Source organism: Homo sapiens, chromosome 1 (assembly GCF_000001405.40).
Source record: "Homo sapiens chromosome 1, GRCh38.p14 Primary Assembly".
Classification (NCBI taxonomy): domain Eukaryota; kingdom Metazoa; phylum Chordata; class Mammalia; order Primates; family Hominidae; genus Homo; species Homo sapiens.
The window spans coordinates 77,530,926-77,554,691 of NC_000001.11; the positions used below are offsets into that span (position 1 = coordinate 77,530,926).

The following is a 23,766-nucleotide window of genomic DNA, read 5'->3' on the forward strand; positions in this document are numbered from 1 at the left end:
AGCAAAACCATGATCACAGTCCACAATGCTCATGTCCTTGTGCTGGTGGGCTGCCCTCATGCCCTGAGGGGTGCAAGGATGAGTGTGGTCCTGTGTCCGGAAATGGTGGGTTCTTGGTCTCACTGACTTAAAGAATGAAGCCGTGGACCCTCGCGGTGAGTGTTACCATTCTTAAAGGCAGCGTGTCCGGAGTTTGTTCCTTCTGATGTTCGGATGTGTTCGGAGTTTATTCCTTCTGGTGGGTTCGTGGTCTCGCTGGCTCAGGAGTGAAGCTGCAGACCTTCGCAGTGTTACAGCTCATAAAGGCAGTGTGGACCCAAAGAGTGAGCAGTAGCAAGATTTACCGCAAAGAGCAAAAGAACAAAGCTTCCACAGTGTGGACGGGGACCCCAGCGGGTTGCCACTGCAGGCTAGGATCTGGCCCCACCCACATCCTGCTGATTGGTCCATTTTACAGAGAGCTGATTGGTCCGTTTTGACAGGGTGCTGATTGGTGCGTTTACAATCCCTGAGCTAGACACAAGTTTTCCAAGTCCCCACCAGGGTAGCTAGATACAGAGTGTGGACACAAAGGTTCTCCAAGTCCCCACCAGAGTAGCTAGATACAGAGTGTTGATTGGTGCATTCACAAACCCTGAGCTATCCACAGGGTGCTGATTGGTGTGTTTACAAACCTTGAGCTAGATACAGAGTGCCGATTGGTGTATTTACAATCCCTTAGCTAGACATAAAGGTTCTCCAAGTCCCCACCAGACTCAGGAGCCCAGCTGGCTTCACCCAGTGGATCCTGCACTGGGCCACAGGTGGAGCTGCCTGCCAGTCCCGCGCCCTGCGCCCGCACTCCTCAGGGTGGATGGGACTGGGCGCCGTGGAGCAGGGGGCTGCGCTCGTCGGGGAGGCTGGTGCCGCGCAGGAGACCAGGGGGAGGTGGGGGGGAAGGCTCAGGCATGGCGGGGGCTGCAGGTCCCGAGCCCTGCCCCGCGGGGAGGCAGCTAAGGCCCGGCGAGAAATCGAGCACAGCAGCTGCTGGCCCAGGTGCTAAGCCCCTCACTGCCTGCGGCCATCCGGCCGGCCGGCCGGCCGCTCCGAGTGCGGGGCTCGCGGAATCCACGCCCACCTGGAGCTCTGCGCACGCGCCTGCAAGCGCTGCGCACAGTCCCGGTTCCCGCCTGCGCCTCTCCCTCCACACCTCCCTGCAAGCTAAGGAAGCCGGCTCCGGCCTTGGGCAGCCCAGAAAGGGGCTCCCACAGTGCAGCGGCGGGCTGAAGGGCTCCTCAAGCGCGGCCAGAGTGGGCGCCAAGGCGGAGGAGGCGCTGACATCGAGCGGGGGCTGTGAGGGCTGCCAGCATGCTGTCACCTCTCAGTCCCACTAGATCCCAAGAGGCAGCAGAGGCAGCTTCTGAAAAATAAAATAAGTGAGTAGGCACCCCACCCCACTCGCTCCCTTTCCCACGGCCCCACCCCCCTCTCCTGGTTCCATTTGGCCCACTCAGCTTCTTGCCCAAACTTCATTCTGAAGGCGTTGGCTCTCTCCATCAGGGTGAGGTCACCAAGCTTTGGGGTTACATGTATCTGCTTCAGGCCTGTCACTCACTAGTCCCTAGTGACCTTGGGAAGGTTAACCTCTGAGGGCCTCCATTTCCTCATCCTTAAAGTGGGAATAATCATACTTCCCGGCAAGAGCGCCAGAGGGCTTATGGGATGGCTGTTTGTAAAGCCCTTAGCACAGTGAAGCATAGCCAGCTGCTGAAATGTTGCTGATGGCATCTCAGCAGCCCTTCCAAGGGCACTTGTGCTCTAACTAAGGTCCCCTGAAAACCAAAGGCCATGGAGAATCCGGTGAGGCTGGTGCCAGAGCCCCAGGGTGCCAGCAGGGTGATGTTGGGGGCAGGCCAATGTCCCCAAGTCTCTGATTCATTCAGCCAAGGGCAGAGTTCTCTGCTCGTCTGCTTACTTGATGTTGAAGACTAACCACAGTCCGGTGAAAACAAGAGCAGAGCTAGGAACCAGACAGCTACTCCAAGGGACTTTCTAATGATACATAGCGAAGCATTTTGAAAAAAATTAGATGGTATCTCATTGAAACATTTCAAAAAATTTTAGGTATTAAAAACAAATGGTTCAGGTCACTTCCAAATAGAATAACTGATCGATAGCTTTTTATATAGGAAGAGAGTGCTGATTCCAGGAGAGAGAGGTTAGGTCAAACCCCCTAGTTTTGGCACAGGAAAATGGCTTGTCAGAGTAGCTTCTCAAACTATGATGCTGTGAAGACTCACTTAGGGATCTGGTTAAGATGCAGACTCTAGGCTGGGTGCGGTGGCTCACACCTGTAATCCCAGTACTTTGAGAGGCTGAGGTGGGTGGATCACTTGAGGTCAGGAGTTCATGACCAGCCTGGCCACCATGGTGAAACCCCGTCTCTACTAAAAATACAAAAATTAGCCGGGTGTGGTGGTGCACACCTGTAATCCCAGCTACTTGGGAGGCTAAGACAGGAGGATTGCTTGAACCTGGGAGGCAGAGGTTGCAGTGATCACATCACTGCACTCCAGCCTAGGCTGCAGAGCAAGACTCTGTCACCAAAAAAAAAAAAAAAAAAAAAAAAAACAGATTCTGCTTCAGCAGGTCGCGTGTTGTGCCTGAGAGTCTATATTTCTAACAAGCTTCCAAATGACATGCTGCTGGTCCGTGGGCCACACTTTGGGAATCAGTGTGGAAGAAAAAGCTACCTCTCTGCCCCGTGCTTATTTTGGTCTAAAAGGTCATTTGCTGCCGGCTCCTGCTCAGTGACATATAATCTCTGTTTGTACCTGTGTCCCTGAATTATCTTTCCTGTCCCCACAAATGGCCTGAAAATAACCCCACAATTGGAAAAATCGCCTGGCTGTCTCATGCAACCCTAACCCAAAGTTGTTTCAGGGAGAACATTAAGCCGCCTCCCAAGCTCGCCCTCTGCTGGTGAACAAGGGTCATTTTTTTCCTAAACCCTCACCCAGCCTTTCTTGCTGCACAAATGCTCTTTTTTTTTTTCCTTCCAATTAATACAGACAGAAAAGTCGCATGACCTATTCCAGAGGTTTATTGCACTGTTGTCGATTTTGGAGAATGTTTCCACTCTGTTCCTTAAAGTACACCCCTCAGAGGAGGTAGATAAATGTTTGACCAACACTGTCTGGCAACTCACGATATTACGAGTTCTCCGTGTTGCCTAAACATCCTCTTCTTGACTGAACTTTGTTCTCATCCCACCCCACACACTTTCTACAGTGGTGGCAAGCCTTCATTTACTCACAGCTCGAATGTGGCAAGGTCAGGGGGAGTAATGGTTTCCTCTGATCCAGGGTTGGAGGAGGATGCAAAGTAAGCATGTCCCAGAGACAAAAGAACATTTAAGAGAAGGATATGGAGATGGGGAGACTCATAACACAGATCATACCACCATCACTCATTCATTAAAACATTTCTTCATCACCTACTGTGTGCAAGACTTGGGACTAGGAGCAGAGAATTCTTAATCCCTGCACACGGGGAACCTAAGCCTCATAGAGGAAATAAGCGTAACAGTGAATCGTTAGTGAGTGTCTGCTGTATGCCAAGGAGCATACGTATGTTACCTTATTTAATTTTATTTCATCCTCACAGCAATCCTATGATCATCCTCATTGTATGAATGAGAAGACTCAGATGCAGAGAAGTTGAGTCAGACTTCTAGTTAATGAGGAAGTCAGTTTAAATGAACAATATGTAAGTCTGGCACAGTGGCATGTGTGTGTAGCCCCAGCTACTCCGGAAGCTGAGGCAAGAGGATCACTTGAGTTCAGGAGTTCAAGACTGTATAGTGCACTATAATTATGCCATGAATAGCCATTGCACTCCAGCCTGGGCATCAGAGCGAGACCCCATCTCTTACAAAAGAAAAGAAAATAAAAACTTTAAAGAACAATTTGTTATTATCTCTCGTGGTTCTGGAAGTTATGGGGCTCAGCGGGCTGGTTCTCACTTGGGGTTCCTTATGCAATTGCACTCAGACAGTGGCTGGGGCTGAGATCCATGTCTGGAGCCAGGGCTGGGATATCTAAAACAGTTGGGGGCTGGTAGGGCATCTCCGTCCACATGGCCTCTCCACATGGCTAACTTGGGCTTCCTCTCAGCCTGGCAGTCTCAGGATAGTTGGACATCTTAGATGGCAGCGGACTCCCCACTGCAGCAAGTGTTCCACAAAACCAGACAGAAACTGCAAACTTTCTTGTGACCTAGACTCTAAAAGCATGGACATTATTTCCGCTACAGTCTGTTGGTCAAAATAGTTACAGGTCAGATTCAAGGTGTTTCTGTGTCTCAGTGGGAGAGTAGCTTACAAGTAAAGTGAGATAACGAATTGATGAAGCCCATCCTGGAGACAAGTCATGACACCAGGGTTTGACCCTAAGCAGCCTGATTCCAGCCTCTGTGTGCTAAAGCATTATGCCCCACTCACCTGACACAGTACAGGCACAGCCACAGAATGCCACCTGTGGCTGTTATATCACGGTGGCTTGAAGGAGAAGTGATTAGCTGTGCCTCAGGTGGTCAGGAAAGGCTTCACATTAGAGGAAACACCCCCTCACACATACATACTCCTTTCTTCTCAGTGCAGAAGAAGACAGACAGTGGCTGCAGTGGGTGGCATATACTCGTCTGCATCACGTGAGGTGGCCTAAAAGCTGAGGGCAAGAGACAGCTCTGAGGCAGTGTGTAGAAGGGAACTGACCTGGAAGGGGGGAGCTATGGAGTCCAGTCCCAGCTGCACCATAGTGTAATGCTGGGACCTTGAAGGGAACCAGAAGGCCAAGAAAGGAAAAACCAGAGGCCCTGGGCCTTTCCAGAACATCAGCAGGGTGAGGTTTCTGACTGTGTTGTGCTCCACTCCCATCTCCAGATTGGAGACCCACAGTTGGTGATCTGTATGGACTGCTCGGCAGACACCATGACCAACCGCCTTCTCCAAAGGAGCCGGAGCAGCCTGCCTGTGGACGACACCACCAAGACCATCGCCAAGCGCCTAGAAGCCTACTACCGAGCGTCCATCCCCGTGATCGCCTACTACGAGACAAAAACACAGCTACACAAGGCGAGTCACTTCACTTTCTCCTCTGAAATGAGCCGCTTACCTTTTTTTTTTTTTTCCAAGAAAAGAGAAAAAGCTGAGAACATTTTAGTTAAGGGATCTGGGAATTAGAACTCTGTGCAGCTGCAGCACTGGGGCCAAAAGGCCCAGCACAGTGGCTTATGCCTGTAATCCCAACACTGTGGGAAGTCAAGGCGGGTGTATTGCTTGAGCCCAGGAGTTCAAGACCAGCCTAAGCAACATAGTGAGACCCCTGCCTCTGCAAAAAATTAGCTGGGTATGGTGGCACATGCCTATAATCCCAGCTACTCAAGAGGCTGACGTGGGAGGATTGCTTGAGCCCCAGAGGTGGAGGCTGTAGTGAGCTGAGATTGTGCCACTACACTCCAGCCTGGGCAACAGAGCAAGACCCTGTCTCAAAGAAAACAACAACAAGAATTTGGACCAAATTATGAATCCCTTACTCTTCACTTCTATTTCAATCAAAATTAAATATCTGTCGTCATATAGACCATAAAAAGGTGGTCATATAATTTTCACAGATCCCCTTATAGTTGCTGAAAACAACTCCTTTTTCCCAAAAAAGAGAGAGAGGGAGAGAGGAAGGGAAGAAGGCAGGGAGGGAGGGAGGCATAGATGAGACGTAGGCTCTGCCACTGACTCTGGACTGTGAGATTATTCACTAGAGCTAAGATTCAATGACTTTGAATTTCTATAATTTTACATCGTTCACAATTGGCTCTTGGCTCCTTTGCCTCAATTTCTTGTGATAACCAACATTTTTAGAAGAAGCTGCATATGGGGCCAGGAGAGCAGGTAATTAAGTAAAACAATGAAGATAGTGTGAGGAAATGAGTGTATCAACCTAGTGATCATGAGCTCTCTGCTGAGTCACCATCAGTTTTATGAATTTGGGAAAACTGCCCAGTCCTCATCCTTCCACTCATCCCATAACTATGTATCAGGAACCCATAGTCCATCAATTGCACTAGTGGTTTGGATGCAAATAAATAAGATTCTTGAATCCTTGCAAAGCTTAGGGTTTCAGTAGGAGAGAGAGACAAACGTGTGATCACACAATGAGATCAAAGCAAGCACAGAATGTGTGGCAAGGGCCCTTTCCTCCAGTGTAAGGGGAAAGGAAAGGATCCAGGAAGGTGGCCTGAGGAGGACTCGGCTGAGTCTCTGAAGCGGGGGTGCACGCCACACCAGAGAAGCCCCAAGTGGAGAAGGTCAGGAAAACCAAGTAACTCCACGAGGCTGTGACATAAAGTGCCAAGGAAAAGAGGGTTAAGAGATGGAGATGGAGAGGCAAGCAAGGACTAGATCAAGATGGATCATATGTAGGAGCAAATAATTGTCCTCTGAGTGATGGGAACTACCAAAGGGGCAGGAATAATCAGGATTTCAATCTAGAAAGCTCAATCCATCATCCTTATGGGGAATGGATGCAAGAAGGTAAGGCTAGGAGACCACTGAGAGGCTAGAACAGTATCCAGGAACAAATCCATAAGGATGACAGAGTGAGCTTTTGTCCAGGAACAAAATCCTGAGTACTCGAACTGGAGAAGGGAGAGTGGGATCTCTTGCTGTTCACAGGATAAGAGACATCATCAATAAATAACAAACTTGTCTCTGAGGAAGCTACATTACTGATTCCTTGGGGGAAAACCATTGATAATGAATTCTTATCTTCTAACTCTGTTAATGGTCCGCTTTCCAGAATCCTAAGAAACACTGGGTATAGAAGTCTGAAAGATGCCTCTGCATTTAACTGAGTGTCAAATATGTGGCATGAGAGACATAATCCCCTACTTCCACATCCATGGCCATTGCTAGTTGATCCCAGCACTGTTTCTCAGTCAGCAGGTGTGGCCTGAGAATGTTTGTCAACACAGCACTCCAGGCAGCTACTGCCAATTAATAGGACTTGATGTGCAACCTGAGACTTATTTGTTGTGCTTTATATAACCTCTGGCTGCCACATTTTAAAAATAAAGACTTCGATCTTTAATAACAGGGCCAAGTGCAATGGCTCACACCCGTTATCCCAGTTCTTTGGGAGGCCAAGACAGGAGGATTACTTGAGTCCAGGAGTTTGAAGACCAGCCTAGGCAACATTTCGAGACCCTGTCTCTCCAAAAAATGCAAAAATTAACTGGACTTGGTGGTATATGCCTGCAGTCCCAGCTACTTGGGAGACTGAAATGGGAGGATCACTTGAGCCTGGGAGGTCAAGGCTGCAGTTTGCCATGATCGCACCACTGCACTCCAGCCTGGGCAACAGAGCAAGACTGTCTCTCAAAAAAAAACAACAACAACAACAAAAAAAAAAAACATAAACAAAAGTGTTTTTGTTATATAAGAGCAATGTCTTAAGAATTCAGGGCTGCAAAGGCCTTTCCAAAATTAGATTGTCTAGTGATTTCCACCTTTTGAGCAGCCTGGAACATTAAAAAAAAAAAAAATCCTGGTGTGGTGGCGCGTGCCTGTAATCCCAGCTACTCAGGATGCTAAGGCAGAAGAATTGCTTGAACCCAGGAGACAGAGGTTGCAGTGAGCTGAAATCACACCACTGCACTCCAGCCTGGGTGACAGAGAGTCCCTGTCTCAAAAAATAAAAAAAAAAATTAAAAAAAAGAAAGGTATTTCTTCCACTTTTAAGATTTGTAAAGGTGGGAAAATTCCTAAGTAATTCAGGATTTAACCACTTTTAGAGTTGGAAAATCCCTCTTAGCTCTCTGTTGTATTATTCCAACCTGAATTCTACAAACTCACAAATGACTGCTCGTGAGTACAGGGTTGAGTTCTCAGACAAATCTGATTTCTGGAATCTTCCTTAGAGCTTTCTAAGTTAGTGGTGTCCAAAAGACCAGATTACAACACATTTAAAGATCTTCATTGGCTTTTATTCATGATTCTAGAATTGGGCAGACCTCAGGACCAGAAAAATGTTTGAAGAATAAGCCACATGGTCAAGCAATATTTATGTTTAGAAAACAGAAGTGAGGAACTGAGGTTAATTAGTTACAGCCTTATGTGAATCAGCTGGCTACCTACTATTGACTTAAGCTCAGCTGCTGGAACTACCAAAACTCAGCCATCTGTTACAGTGTGTACATCCAAGTTGTTTGTTTCATTTAGCACGGATGACTCCACGTTGGTTCGGCCTGTTGGGCCCAGAACGGGAGCCTAGTCCAAACCAATGGCCTCCTACAAATTTTATTTAATGGTGGAAAAGAGGTTTGCAGTCCCCTGGCTCATCTCTTCAACTTCCCCTGCATTTTGGAGATGCTGGCTGCTGGGTGCGTGGTGAGGTAACATTATGATCCACTGCACAAATATGTAAAACCTCTCCAGCCCGGACTGCAGAGCAGCGTGAGCTTCAGCCTTCAGGACTCCCAGAGAGTCTCAGGGAGGCTGCTTCATCCCACTGCCCCTGCCCAGGGCCATCCCCTACCCACACAGCTGCAAAGATGAACAGTCCTCCCTACACACCTAGCATAGAAACAGTGTGTGCTGGGCCCAGGAAGCTGAGATTTGTCTGCAGGTACCCGTGGGGTTTGCCAGTAGCTAGGGTGACAAGAGCGGGGACTGCAGGAGAAGCAGGGGAGGGGACAGGATTGTTTGCCGCTGGAGAGGGAGAAAGCCACTGGCCCACTCTGTTGTCTGGCCTCTGGGTTTTTGCCCAGTCCTCCTGCATCAGCTTAATCTCCCTTGGTTCCTAAGTAACAGCTTGTGGCCTGCTCCTGTGATGCTGTTTGGATTGTTTGCCCCTCCTCCCTGTTGTTTTACTGGACCCAAGACAGGGCTGCTCACCCAAGAGGACCTCTGGGTCACTTAAGGAGCTTTCTTAAAACTAGGTGGGGCTGGTGAATGCACTTCAAGAAAGCAAGTGAGATGAATCAGCAGTTCTGTGAGATTTATTTAGGAATTAAAGCCACAGGGGGGGCCAACCCATGCAGCCCACAAATAGGCCACAAGCACCGCCCTCAGGCCTCTACCCAGCAATGCTGACATTGAACCCATCATCTGACACCCTCCATCCCCCACTCCATGACAAGTCAGCCCTTTGGCCACCAGCTAGCTAAGGAAAGTGCAGCAAAATTTCAAACAAAGATAATTTTTAAAGCAAAGCAGAATTTATACAGCCACTCCCTTATTCTTTATGTCATCATAATGCCATCCTTGTACAATAAAGTTAGAACTTCTTGTAACGTGCACACCAGAGATGGAAGTACATGTGATACAGGTGTATCCCTTTCTGCCTGTTTTTCTCCCTCTCATAAAGCAGAGGTTTGCCCTGCATCTGAGAAAGAATTAGAACAGAACTTTCCTCCATTTCATTCCCCACCTCACTACACTTGGGCCAGGCAGCGTTCGCCAGTCATGGCACTTCCTACCAAGTCTGAATGCTGTCTCAGAAACTTGCTCAACACAGCCGTATGGACCATCACCCCCAACTGACTAGAATTAGCCTACAAGAAGAAGTTTTCTTTCACCTTAGTGAGATAATTTATTATGGCCATAAGTAACTGAAATGTAGCATTTGGGGATGAAAAGCACAGTTACCAGCCAAAGACTCCCTGGGGGATGGCGGGGGGAATATGGGCCTGTGCATCAGAAAGCCCCAGGCACACTTTCATCAACTTCGGTGAGTCATTTTACTGCTTCACCTCTCAGTTCTTCTTCCTAAAGTGGATAGAACACGATCTACTAGAATTGACCAAGTCTATTATTATAAAAGTAACACATACTTGCTTTATAAAATATAGAAAACTGGTCAGGTGTGGTGGCACATGTCTATAATCACAGCAGTTTGGGAAGCCAAGGAGAGTGTGGGTCACTGGAGCTTAGGAGTTTTTTTTTGTTTGTTTCTTTTTTTTTTAGAGATGGAGTCTCGCTCTGTCACCCAGGCTGGAATGCAATGGCGCAATCTTGGCTCACTGCAACCTCCACCTCCTGGGTTCAAGCCATTCTTCTGCCTCAGCCTCATGAGTAGCTGGGATTACAGGCACCCACCACCACACCCAGCTAATGTTTTGTATTTTTATTAGAGATGGGGTTTCTCTTATGTTGGCCAGGCTGGTCTCGAACTCCTGACCTTGTGATCTGCCTGCCTTGGCCTCCCAAGGTGCTGGGATTACAGGCGTGAGCTACCACGCCCAGCCAGGAGCCTAGGAGTTCTTGACTATCTTGGGCAACATGGCAAAACCCATCTCTACAAAAAATACAAAAGTTAGCCAGGCGTGGTGGAACACATCTGTGGTCACAGCCACTCAGGGGACTAAGGTGGGAGGATTATTTGAGCCCAGGAGGTTGAGGCTGCAGTGAACCAAGATAGTGCCACTGCACTCAACTGGCGAGATCCTGTTTCCAAAAAAAGAAAAAAGAAACAAAGAAAATGTAGAAAACTAGGTAGTCCCACCACTCAGAGGCAAACATTGTGGGGCGTTTTCACCACATCTTTTTGCTGTGAATTTTAAAAACATGATTGTGATTGTAGGTAATACTGAGCCAGACTCTGTGGTTGTAGGTAGCAGGTGCCAACTCCCGCTGGCCTAACCTGAAACACAGAACTTCATTATAAGGTTAGAAGACTCAAGGCTGAGGCACAGCAGGCCCTAGAAGGCGTGTGGGATCAGGCCTAAAAGGCTCACAGTGCTCCCTACTGCTTCACAAACACCGTTTCCTTCTCTCTAAGCTGGGTTTTTTTTCTTTCTCTGGCTTATAAGCCAGAATATGCCCACCTGACAGCTTTCGCATTTGCACATTACCACGGCACTCTGATTCCCAGCTCCAGATTCCTGAGAGAAATGATGTGGTTGGCCTTGCTTTGCTCAGGGTCTCCTTGGCTCTCTTAGCTGTGGACAGGCAGCTGGGGTCACAGGGGGCTTTTTTATTTTTTTCTGTACTTTATTGAGTGCATATGGTATGTGTGGGACACGACACTTGGTGCTGGGGACACAGCAGTCAACGTGACAAAGCCCCTCACTGAAAAGAGAAAAACAGGCCAGGCACGGTGGCTCACACCTGTAATCCCAGCCCTTTGGGAGGCCAAAGCAGGCAGATCACAAGGTCGGCAGTTCGAGACCAGCCTGGCCAACATGGCAAATGTCTCTACTAAAAATATAAAAATTCGCTAGACGTGGTGGTGCGCATATGTAATCCCAGCTACTGAGGAGGCTGAGGCACGAGAATTACTTGAACCTGGGAGGCGGAGGTTGCGGTAAGCCAAGATCACACCACTGCACTCTGGCCTGGATGACAAAACGAGACTCGGTCTCAAAAAAAAAGAGCAAAACCGTATACAAGAAAATAAAGCAACCACTAACAAGTTCTGTGGATAAAACAAAACAGAATGCATTGTTGGGAGTGAGCACTGTGGGCAGCTGTTTGGAAAGTCTGAGGAGGTAGCATTTGAATTAGGACCTGACTGATATAAACATGGTTACCTGGGACTCTTCCCTGTGAAGCAGATGGAGGACAAGGAATACCCAGAGAGAAGGGCTCGTTGTGAGCTGAGAGAAACCACAGAAATAGCTATCTCAAGTGGCATAGGCAGAATTGTATCAAATGATATTTAAAGCCTCTTTTTTTCCTAAGTATAAGTAACAACTACACATTGTTTAAAAAAGAAACAAACTAGAAAATTTAAGACTATAAAGGTAAACATTAAAATTATTGAGAATTATTCCACCCAAAGATAATCACCAATGAACATTATGATATATTTCCGTACATTTTGGTTTTTTTCCATTTTTATATACATTTTGTTCATGGCATAATTAGCCCAGAAACACCCCAGGCCATAGATGAAGAGGGCCTGGTAACAGATTATTTCTGTCCCTGCGTTATTTGCTACTCTTAACTGATTAAAAAAATAAAAAGAGAGCCCAGTGACTCATTAAACATGAGTTTTGCAGACAGACAATCAAGTTCCTTGGCAACTCTGCTTTTGTAGAGGAGATAATAAGCTTTTTTCCTCAGCAATTCTGCTGCTGCAGTGTCTCAACTTTGTAAATAGTTTGACCGTTTCCATTAGGTCCTGAAATGCAATGGTCCACATTGTTCTGGTCACCATGCTGTCAGGAGAAGCCCTATGAATTGAGGCAAGAAGAGTGAGAAGTTTCTGCAGTTTCTGGTATTACTGAGGAAAGTGGAAGCAGAAGGTACCATAAGGTCACATTTCACCGCTTGGTTGCAAAATCTACTGGGTAATTCATAACTGACTGGATCCCCAAGTTTGGAGTCTAACACAAGTAAAGGAAAACCCAAAATTACTTGTATACCTTGAATTCTCTGTACTAAATTCTTAATTTTGATTCTTCTTTCAGTTGGCTAAAGTAACTCAACTAATTTTGAGTTCAATTTCTCATTGAATATCTGAGAATGCCATTATAGTGGCTTCACACACAAATGACAGTTTGACTGGACATAATTTAAGTCATAATAATTATTTTTCTACCAAAAGTCAGTAAACATTGCTCTATTTTTTTTTTATTGTTTGTTTTGAGACAGGGTCTCTCTGTGTTGCCTAGTCGGGTTTGCAGTGGTGCAATTACGGCTCATTGCAGCCTCAACTTCCCTGGGCCCAAGTAATACTCCCACTTCAGCCTCTCAAGTAGCTGGGACCATAGACATGAACCACTGGCGATAGGGAGCAGTCCAAGTTTTCAGAATTCTTGTGACTATTCTCATTTATGGGGGTCTTCAGGAGTATTTTCGTAGGAAGCTGGGAAGCTGTATTGGGATGCTGGCCAGATTCCATGCGAGGTAAGAGCAGGGACAATGGAGGGAATATTTTCCATCTCCGGTTAGTTGAATCTGCAGGTGCAGAACTTTGGATACAGAGAGTAGACTGTATATATTTATGTGTGTATGTGAGAGTACACACACACACACACACACACAGTCATGCATCATTTAACAGTAAGGATACGATCTGAGAAATGCATCATTAAGCAATTTTGTCATTGTGCAAACATCAGAGAGTGTACTAACACAAACCTAGATGGTATAGCCTACTACACACGACAGCCTGTCACTGTATTGAATACTGTGGGAATTGTAAGACAATGGTAACCATTTGTGTATCTAAACATATCAAAATATGGCAAAGATACAGTAAGAATACAGAATAAAAAATTTCAGTGGTAAACTTGCTGTATAGAGTGTTTACCATGAATCCAGCTTTCAGGACTGGAAGGTGCTCTGGATGAGTCACTGAGTGAATGTGAAGGCCTAGGATGTTACTGTATACTACTGTAGGCTTTATAAATGCTGTACAGTTAGGCTATGCTACATTTGTAAAATATTTTTCTTTCTTCAATAATAACTTTGGCTTACTATAACCTTTTTACTTTATAAGCTTTTAAAATTTTTTCACTTTTGACCGTTTCATAGAACTTAGTTTAAAACACAAACACATTGTACAGACGTACATAAATATTTTTTCTTTATATCCTTATTCTATGTTTTTTTCTATTTTAAAAAAAGTCTTTTTTTTTTTACTTTTTAAGCTTTTTTTCTTAAAAACTGAGATGGAGACACACACATTCGCCTAGGCCTGCCTACACAGGGTTAGAATCATCATGCCACTGTCTTTACCTCCGTATCTTGCCCACTGGAAGGTCTTCAGGGGCAGTAACATGCATGGAGCTGTCGTCTGCTTTGATAACAAGGCCTTTTTCTGGAACATTCCTGAAGGACCTGCCTGAGGCTGTTTGACAGTTAGCTCTTTTTTAACAAGTAGAAAAAATGCACTCTGAAATAATAATTGAAAGTATAATATAGGAAATACATAAACCAGAAACATAGTCATTTATTGTCATTATCAAGCATTGCGTACTTTACGTGATTGTACGTGCTATACTTTTCCAACACCGGCAGCACAGTGGATTTCTTTACACCAGCATCACCACAAACATGTGAGTAATCCATTGCGCTGTGACATTGTGATGGCTACCACATCACAAGGCGCTGGAAAATTTTCAGCTTCATTATAATCTTATGAGACTGCCATTGTATAAGCAGTCTGTCATTGACCAAAACATTGTTATCAGTGCATGACTATATATACCCACACGCCCGCAATTAACAATGCCCTTCACAACCTTGCCTCCCTCAAGTAACCAATGTGAACAGCTTATTGTGTATCCTTCCACCTCTCCTCACTTCCTCCTTTTCCTCCTCCTTCTGTTCTCTTTCTCTCTTTCTTTTCTTCTTTCCTCCAGCCCCTCATTCTTTCTCTCTGAAATCAAACTTTTTACTACAGACACACACACACAACCATGGTGGGGGAGGGCTGATTTCATGCAAATACTCCCAAGCTGTACGCATTTCTGTGAAACACCTCCAGGTTAACACATCACAATATTGTTTTCTTTTTAATAGCTATATAATATGCCACAATATAGATATTCTACAGTTTATTCAACTAGGTTGTTTCTAGTTCAGTTTGGTTGTTTTTACCTACTACTAACAACGATGCAGTGGAAAGACATGCTTAATTAGATTTTTTTCTAGTAGGAGCGACTGCTGAGCTATTTTAAGCAAAGGCTGATTTTTTTTAACTCATTCATTTCTACTCCCCTGGCTCTCCATGTTGCCCTGGGAAGAGTTCTTTGAAGTATAACAAGTAAAACAAGGAGCTTTGGAATTTCCCAGCTCCTTGATGCTTAGCCTCTTTTAGCAGTGCCCCACCTTCACTGGGGGTGCCTATCAGTTTCAAGTCTGAAGCGTCCCTGCATTTCATCTGGGCCTGCCTTGGTTGACAACTAGAAACCTAGATTTAGATACAGCCCTCCCTCCTGCTGGTGCAGTGAAGAGAAAGGTGTGCCTGAAGGAGAGAGTGACTTAGAGGAACCCTAAGGTTCTATCCTCTCACTTGACAAATGAAGCATAAGTCTTCCATCTGGCTCTGAGAGACTTAAGAGACTTTTTCTTTATGACTCTGCTTAAAATAGTCTTCTCTCCACCCCCTTTCCTTCCTGATTGTCAGACCTTCACCAGATTCCCGCAAAGACGTTTTGATTCGATGCAATACTGTTTGCACCCCTGCGGTCCTGCTGAAATGAGTTGTGCTTGCTGCGTGTGTGTCTCCTCCCCAAACAGCAAGCAGAAGAGAATTCCAGGCCCTTTTGACTCATCTGTACACACTCTTGATTTCTTCCTCTGTGGTTGCTATAATCACATAGCAGATTTTGCCTTTGCCCATGTTAGGGCACCCCCTTCACTGAGGTCCACTTTAACTCAGAACCCCTCCCAGAGTCACTGACATGAATTCTACCAGCAAAGAATTGGCACCATTCTATGTAAGGTCTTTGACATGCTCAGCAGACATTTACTGGGCATCTCTAAGGTCCAAGGCATGCCACTTAATGTTGGGAATTCATAGGAAAAAGACATGTGCTTGTAATCCCAGCACTTTGGGAGGCCGAGGAGGGCAGATCTCTTGAGGTCAGGAGTTTGAGACCAGTGTGGCCAACATGGTGAAACTCCATCTCTACTAACATTACAAAAATTAGATGGGTGTGGTGGTGTGCGTCTGTAATCCCAGCTACTCGGGAGGCTGAGGCACAAGAATTGTTTGAACCCATGAGGCAGAGGCTGCAGTGAGCTGAGATCGCGCCACTGCACTCCAGCCTGAGCGACAGTGTGAGACTCTGTCTCTACACAAAACAAAACAAAAAAGACTTGTGAAACTCTGTGACACATGAAACCCCAGCGAAGTAGTAGGTGCCATAATAGGATCTACAGAATGCTCCAGGCCTTTGGGGCACAGAGCTCGGGCCTGGGAAGGCAAGTAAATGCTTCAGAGAAAAGAGGACATTTGAGCTGGGTCCTAAAGGATGAAGAGAAACTCAAGCCAGATGAAGGAGAAGGAACAAAGCCACTGACACGTGAAAGCGCCAGGAATGCTGGCCCAGATGAAGTGCCAAATAGATGAATTAAAGTCGTGGCAGATGAGACTAAAGAGCAAGATTGAAGCAAGTGGTGAAGGGCTTTGAATCCATTCATTTATTCATTCTTCCTGCATTCAGTAAATTTGCTAGATCAGCACTGTCAAAAGAAATAGAATGTGGGCCACATGTATAATTTAAACTTTTATAGTAGTCACATAAACAAAAGTAAAAAGAAACAGGTGAAATTAATTTAACAATATATTTTATTTAACTATTTAACCTAATATATCCTAAGTATCATTTCAACATGTAATCAATATAAAGTTCTCTTTTTTTTTTTTTTTTTTTTTGAGACAGAGTCTCACTCTGTCACCAGGCTGGAGTGCAGTGGCACGATCTCAGCTCACTGCAACCTCCGCCTCCTGGGTTCAAGTGATTCTCCTGCCTCAGCCTCCCAGGTAGCTGGAAGTACAGGTGTGTGCCACCATGTGTGGCTAATTTTTGTATTTTTAGTAGAGACGGGGTTTCGCCATGTTGGCCATGATGGTCTCAATCTCTTAACCTCTTGATCTGCCCGCCTCGGCCTCTCAAAGTGCTGGGATTACAGACATGAGCCACTGTACCCAGCCATAAAATTCTTAATGAAATATTTTTACATTTTTTTTATGAACTATGTATTCAAAATCTGGTACTTAGGGCTTTACCTCAAATTTAGTTGCTAAGTTTCCATAAAAAATACTGGAACTATATTTATATTTCATAAAATTTACAGTTGAAAAGTAGATTTCACATACCCAAGTCATTCCAAATATAGTTCTTAATTTTCCAAAAATTGGATCAAATGCCAGGTTTAAATTTTAGATTAATTTTAATTAAACAGTATTAAAAATCAGTTCCTTTCTTGTGCTAGTCAGATTTCAAGTGCCCAGAAACCACGTGTGGCTAGGGGCTACCATATTGCATAGTTCTAGACTACCCAAGGATGTTTGGACTGAATACTGAAAGTACTCAGTTCTAGGAGGGAAGCACTGAGTAACTTTAAACAGGAAAATGATTGAGCAGGTGTTTTAGAGAGGTCATTTTTAGAAAGGATGATTTTTTTTCATATCTGCTAAAAGATGTTATTCAAAACTTTAGGCAGAATGGAGAGGAAGAGAAAAGGAAAAACAGTTACTTAAAACGTTTAAGTGGACAGACTGCACGTACTATGGGAAGTCCTATTTATAGACAGGCCATTAATGTGCTGATTATAAGTCATCCTTATATTTTTGCTGAAGTTTGTCCTTAAATCTCTCTACAGTCAATGTATATATAGTCCTCCTTCTTTCTATGGCTTTGATAACGAGGAGAACTGTGTGGCCTGACTGGATATGTGAACTGGATGACCCCCATGAGCAGTCTTTTACATAACCCCAACTTTTGAAAACTGCATTTGATGATTTTCCCCAGATCATGCCCAGGTTCTGCACACTGAGGTCTACCTTGCTGAGCCGCTGCTGTTATCCTCTGGCAGTGAGGGATCCCTGTGGTGTGAGGCTGTGTCTTGTTTAACAGGGGACAAGATTAGAAAAGGAAGGTGCTGGCACACAGACCGTGATCCTAAACCATGCTGTAACAGCTTGGCTTTGTCCCAGAGGTTCCATGGTGCCAATACATGAAAAATAAAATGAAACTCAAGCAATGGTTTCAACTGTCTGGGAAAATTCAGGAAAAACACAACTAGACATAGGCAATGTTTGGACCAGCCAACTGTTTTATGATTTACAAATCCATGGAACTAAAGAGGAAGAGTAAACAAAATGTGTAATTCCCAAAGCAGTGTAATTGCTTTCCTCATTTAGTCATATGTTCTGTTGACTGTTGGGTAGAAATATTATCACTGACTGCTCTACTTTTCCTTCAAGAAGTCAGGTAAAAGCTCAGAAATTTACTATTTCCTGTTCACTTGCTTTTAGCTTTTTTTTTTTTTTTTTTTTTGAGACTGAGTTTCATTCTGTCACTCTGCTCACTGCAACCTCCGCCTCTCGGGGTCAAGCGATTCTCCTGCCTTAGCCTCCCGAGTAGCAGGAATTACAGGTACCTGCCACCACACCCGTCTACTTTTTGTATTTTTAGTAGAGACTGGGTTTCACCATGTTGGCCAGGCTGGTCTTGAACTCCTGACCTCAGGTGATCCGCCCTCCTCGGCCTCCCAAAGTCCTGGGATTACAGGCATGAGCCACCGTGCCTGGCCTGCTTTTAGCTTTTTAATAAAATAATATTTTGCTACACTGGTCAGAACATCACTTACTGTGGGATTTTTATATCATGTCTCAGACCAAAAATGGTAAATTCTTTTTTTTATGTTTATTTCTTCCTTAAAACTTTTAACTTTTGTGGGTACATATTGGGTGTATATATTTATGGGGTACGTAAGCTACTTTGATACAGGCATGCAGTATGTTAGGATCACGTCAGGGTAAATGAGGTATCTATCACCTCAAGCGTTTGTCCTTTCTTTGTGTTATAGATAATCCGATTATAGTCTTTTAGTTATTTTTAAGTGTACAATAAGTTATTGTTGACTAGAGTTACCCTCTTGTGCTATCAAATACTAGATCACATTCATTCTATCTACCTAAATTTTTGTATCCATTAGCCATTCCCACTTCCCCCTCTCCCTTCCCAGACACTGGTAACTATCAATCTACTATCTGTCTCCATGAGTTCAATTGCTTTAATATTTAGCTCTCAGAAATAAGTGAGAACATTCGAAGTCTGTCTTTCTGTGCCTGGCTTATTTCACTTAACATGACTTCCAGTTCCATACATGTTGTTGCAAATGACAGGATCTCATTCTTTCTTATAGCTGAATAGTACTCCATCATGTATGTGTACCACATTTTCTTTTTTCTTTTTTTGAGACAGGATCTCACTCTTTCACCCAGGCTGGAGTATAGTGGCACAATCATGGCTCACTGCAGCCTCAACCTCCTAGGCTCAAGTGACCCTCCCACCTCAGCCTCTTTTATTTATTTATTTTTTTTTTTTAAGGGACAAGGTCTTACCCTGTTGCCCAGGCTGGAGTGAGTGCAGTAGCTCCATCACAGCTCATTTTAGCCTTGAACTCCTGGCCTCAAGCCATCGTTCACCTCAGCCTCTCCAGTAGCTAGGACTACTGGCATGTGCCTAGCTAATTTTTTTATTTTTGTAGAGACACTGTATTTCCCAAGCTGGTCTCGAGCTCCTGGGCTGAAGCAATCCTCCTACCTCAGCCTCCTAAAGCATGGGCAGTTTACAGGCGTGAGCCATTCCATCCAGCTGGTAAATTCTTGAAGTCAGAAGCAAATCTACTTACCTAGTTTCTAACTAAATTAAATACATTAAGACCTCATACATTCTGATTTTGCTGACTCAGAATTGCAGATCTTTCGGAGAAAGGTCACGATGAAACTTACTTTTGACTGTTCATGATAAAAGAGGGTTACTATAAATTAATATTATAATAATTGATTATAGAGGAAACACACCCTATATTGCAGGACGTATTACTTTTAAGTTTACACAATTACTGAGGAAGTCTCATTCACAGAAAACAGTCAGTAAGCTGATTGTGCAGGATTGTTCTCTGTTTGCTAAGGACATTAAACACCAGCACCCTTATAAGCTAACTGGTTTAAATTTGCTAAAGCTCTAAGCACGAAGAAAAGTTCCTGTAACTTTGAAAGCATTTAGTAAATTGGTTCTTTTCCATTTCTTTTGAGTTGCAGTTATATACAAAAAGATAAATGCCACTTATTCTCTTAAAATACTCTCCACATGGGAATTAGATGAGCAAAGAGAATCTACTTTGAGACTTAGGAAGAGTCGAGCTAACCTGTAGAATGAAAGGAGAAATTTGGAGAGTAGATAAAAGGTTTTGTTCCCACCCAATTCAACTGGGCTCTCTTTTGCTCCTTAAAAATACACTTCAGGCCAGGGGCAGTGGCTCCCACCTGTAATTCCAGCACTTTGGGAGGCCAAGGCAGGCAGATCACCTGAGGTCAGGAGTTTGAGACCAGCCTGGCCAACATGGTGAAACCCCGTCTCTACTAAAAATACAAAAATTAGCTGGACGTGGTGGCACATGCCTGTAATTCCAGCTACTCGGGAGGCTGAGGCAGAAGAATTGCTTGAACCCGGGAGGTGGGGGTTGCAGTGAACTTAGATCATACCATTGCACTCCAGCCTGGGAGACAAGAGCGAAACTCCATCTCAAAACAAAACAAAACAAAAATGCATTCAGAAATCCAGGCCTTTCCCAACACACACACACACACACACACACCTTCTATAAGACAACAGAAATTGCCTCACTGACTTTATTCTCAGAACTTGGCATCTTGGTCCTAAGGAGGATCCCAGATAACTTCACAGAGTTTTCTAGTCACCCAAGTAAAAGACTGCTTTTCCCATCTAGAAAGCCTTATCATTTGATTTTGTCTTTAAACCTACCCATATCTTTGGGCTCCACAGGGGCAAGCACTACAGTACATGACTCTGACTGGTTGGCAATAAGCAGGTTTTTAATTTCATTAATAAACCCCCATATTTAAGCCACACAACAAAATGAGGAGGGGGATTGGGGTTGGAAATAGAGGTGGGCAATGGTCCACTGAGAGCTCTGGGACCCTTCCCAGCTCTCCCCAAAACATTAGCTCTGGCCTGATTGACAGAAAGTAACTAGCACTGCCCTTGAGGTGCTGCGTGCTGAGTCCTCTGTGCTGAAACCAAGTCGCCTTGTTTTTAGAAGGCAGAATCCCTTCTCCTTCCATAAAGCCTAGACTACAGAAAATGGGCTCTAAGAACATGTTTCCTCCCCTACAACAGTTCATTTCTATGAGGAAAGAAAGAGCAAATGTGGGAATAGAGGATACATTCTTTTGTTTACCTTTTTTGTTTTTTGCCTTTCTACCTAGAGCCAGGCACGGGGGGATACTACACTGAGTAATGACCTCGTGCTCATGGAGCTTATTGTCTAGCTGGATGTTGACAAAGGTTCTCTGCTGACCAAACTTTAGTCAAACTCTTAAACCTTCTCCTAGGCCCATCTGTGCACTTCCTCGTAAAACCCAGTTTTAGCAAAGAACTCTGCTAAATCACTTTAGCAAGATCCCCTACTCTGAATATCTGATTGGGGTGCTCATCCTCCATCATCCCCAGGTGCTGTCTGATCATATTGGTCTGTCTTCAGCAAGAGTCCTGTTAGGTCGGTGTAGCCAGAACTTTCCTTACTCCTGATGTTATTACCTCTTAGTAATTTTCCATCCACTGACTCCCAGCCTGCTCTTTGACTATAAATTCCCACTTGCCCACGCTGTATTCAGAGTTGAATCCCATCCCTCTCCCCCACTGCAAAATTCTGTTGCCGTAGTCCCTATACCCATCGTAATGGTCCCCAATAAAGCCTCCCTTACCGTGCTTTAACAAGAATCATTGAACATTTTTTTTCTTTAACAATATACAAATACTTGGGTTAAGACTGGGTTTTATCTGGCCAAGAAGTGAAAAGTTAAATGTTGCAGTGAATTGCAACAAGTAAATGGCCACTGTGATAGTCAGTGGGGAAGGTAATACAGAAAGAGCCTTTAGTTCACTGTGATAGTAAAAGGCAGAAGGTAATAGAGTGCATTCAAAGGTTGTTGTAATGAGCAAATGTGTTTTTATCAGAGTCTAAAAGAAATCCTGGACAAGGATCAACCCAATTTATGTGAGTGTAACACTGGCATTATGTTGAATGACCAAGTTATCCATTATGAAACACAGAGGAAATAGAACATAATGCATGTGTTCTTGGCCAGGCACAGTGGCTTACACCTAAAATTTCAGCACTTTGGGAGGCTGAGGTGGGAGGATTGCTTGAGGTCAGGACTTCAAGCCCAGCCTGGGCAACATAGCAAGACCCCATCTCTACAAAAACATACAAAAAATTAGCTGGGCATGGGGGCACACGCCTGTAGTCTCAGCTAATCAGGAGGCTGAGGCAGGAGGACTGCTTGAGCCCAGGAGTTAGAGGTTACAGTGAGCTATGATCTCACTACTGCACTCCAGCCTGGGTGAGAGAGCAAAACCTTACCTCTTAAAGAAAAAGGGGGTTCTTTAAAAAATTTGTATATTAATAGTGTTAAAAGACACATTACGAGTATGAGAAACATAGGTATGGTTTTCTTTTGGAAAGAAGGTAAATTTGGAAAATCATATATAAAGTTGGGAATGTTAAGTAGTATTGGTTGCAGAAGACAGATTGGAGGAGAGAAATGTTTCAGGGCCAAGGAGCAGAAATAGACCATGCTAAGTCAGTTAAATGCAAGGGACTGGTGGAATTCAGCAAGAGGCTGGAGAACAGATAAATAATGAGGAAGATGCTGCAAAATATCTACCACTTGGTGAGGACAAGAACGGGCCCTAGAACACAGTTGGGTTTGTACAGATGAAGCAGAGGGCGTAACTGAGGCTGAAAAGTCCCACTACACATGTGCCTCAATTAGGTAGTGATATTGTAGTGAGAAAATTCACATGCATTTGAAGTAGATGGTCACTTGGGATCATTCCGTAGGCTAATTATATTCCTCTTCTGGGGAAGATATGGAGCTGATTTGGGGCAGTGTTTGTGCCAAAGACAAAAAATTGGATCACTAGGGTGAAGAACTTACATTATGCACAGAAGAGTTGTATTTGAGTCTGTCCTCATGGAACTTCTTGGGGACCAGTGACAGACCTGATGCATTTTCCACTGATACGATCATGGACAGTGTAAATAATAAATCAAGCGTTTGTGGATTTACACCTTCTTACCCGTCCCTGCTACAGGGGAGGAAACTTGAGAAGGGGCGGGAATGTGAGTTAGCAACCCCTTCCTTTCCTCCCTCCTCCCAGCGTTTGATAAGGCGAGCTCAGGTGACTGTATAGTGGGCTGTGGGCAGAAACAGATTTGCTGAAAAGAGATGAGGAAGGCAGACATCCCAAGGCATGTTTGGAACATTCGGGTTAAATGCAGCATAGCATTATTCAGCAATAAAAAGGAATACAGTATTGATATCCACTACAACATAAACGAACCTTGAAAACATTATGCCAAGAAACCAGTCACAAAAGACCATATATTGTGTGATTTCATTGATATAAAATGTCCTGAGTAGGCAAATCTATGGCGACACCTCATTCCAACCTATTTTTCCAGCTTCCTCTTTTTATCTGCCTGCCCCCATCACCCCATGCAGCATTTGCTCTGTCCTCAACAAATGACCCACTGTTCACTGAAAAATCTATGTGCTTTCAGATCTCTACACCTTTGCCACCTTTATTATCTTCCAGTACATGTCTATTCTTCTAGGCCGAGCTTAACTGGCAACACCAAACTAAACTGAACAATCCTGACACCTGCTGAGAGGAGCTCATCCCCACTAAAAAGTGAGCTCAGATTTGGAATAGCATAGAACATCCAGGCTGGAACCAGACCTGGAGGTTATCTAGTCCTAGTTCAGTCCCTTCATATGATAGAGGAGGAAACTGAGGCCCCAAGAGGATGAATGGCCTGTCAAGTCCTGAAGCACACTGAGGGCAATCCCAGGCACGCCTCATACAGGGCTCTTTGCCTTGCACTTCAACCTTTCTGCAGTTTTTTTGTTTTATTTGGGTTTTGTTTTTGTTTTTGTTTTTGTTTGAGACGGAGTCTCACTCTGTTGCCCAGGCTGGAGTGCAGTGGCGCGATCTCAGCTCACTGTCAGCTCC

At 44.6% G+C, this 23,766-nt stretch overlaps 1 protein-coding gene across 6 annotated transcripts in view, besides 1 other annotated feature; it reads left to right on the forward strand.

The window, feature by feature from the left end:
• Positions 1–23,766, forward strand: part of AK5 (adenylate kinase 5) — a 277,948-nt gene that overhangs the window by 248,907 nt on the left and 5,275 nt on the right. For all 6 annotated transcript variants that reach the window (NM_174858.3, XM_005270739.6, NM_012093.4 and 3 more), the window contains one exon: positions 4,922–5,113. In NM_174858.3, the coding sequence (NP_777283.1) occupies positions 4,922–5,113 (192 nt within the window). The remainder of the gene's footprint in view (positions 1–4,921; positions 5,114–23,766) is intronic.
• Positions 22,679–22,973: a silencer, noted in NCBI's record as "tiled region #12904; K562 Repressive DNase matched - State 8:EnhW". NCBI's record gives its function as "represses a minimal TATA promoter and a strong SV40 promoter by Sharpr-MPRA in K562 cells {active_cell/tissue: K562}" and the evidence as "EXISTENCE:reporter gene assay evidence [ECO:0000049][PMID:27701403]".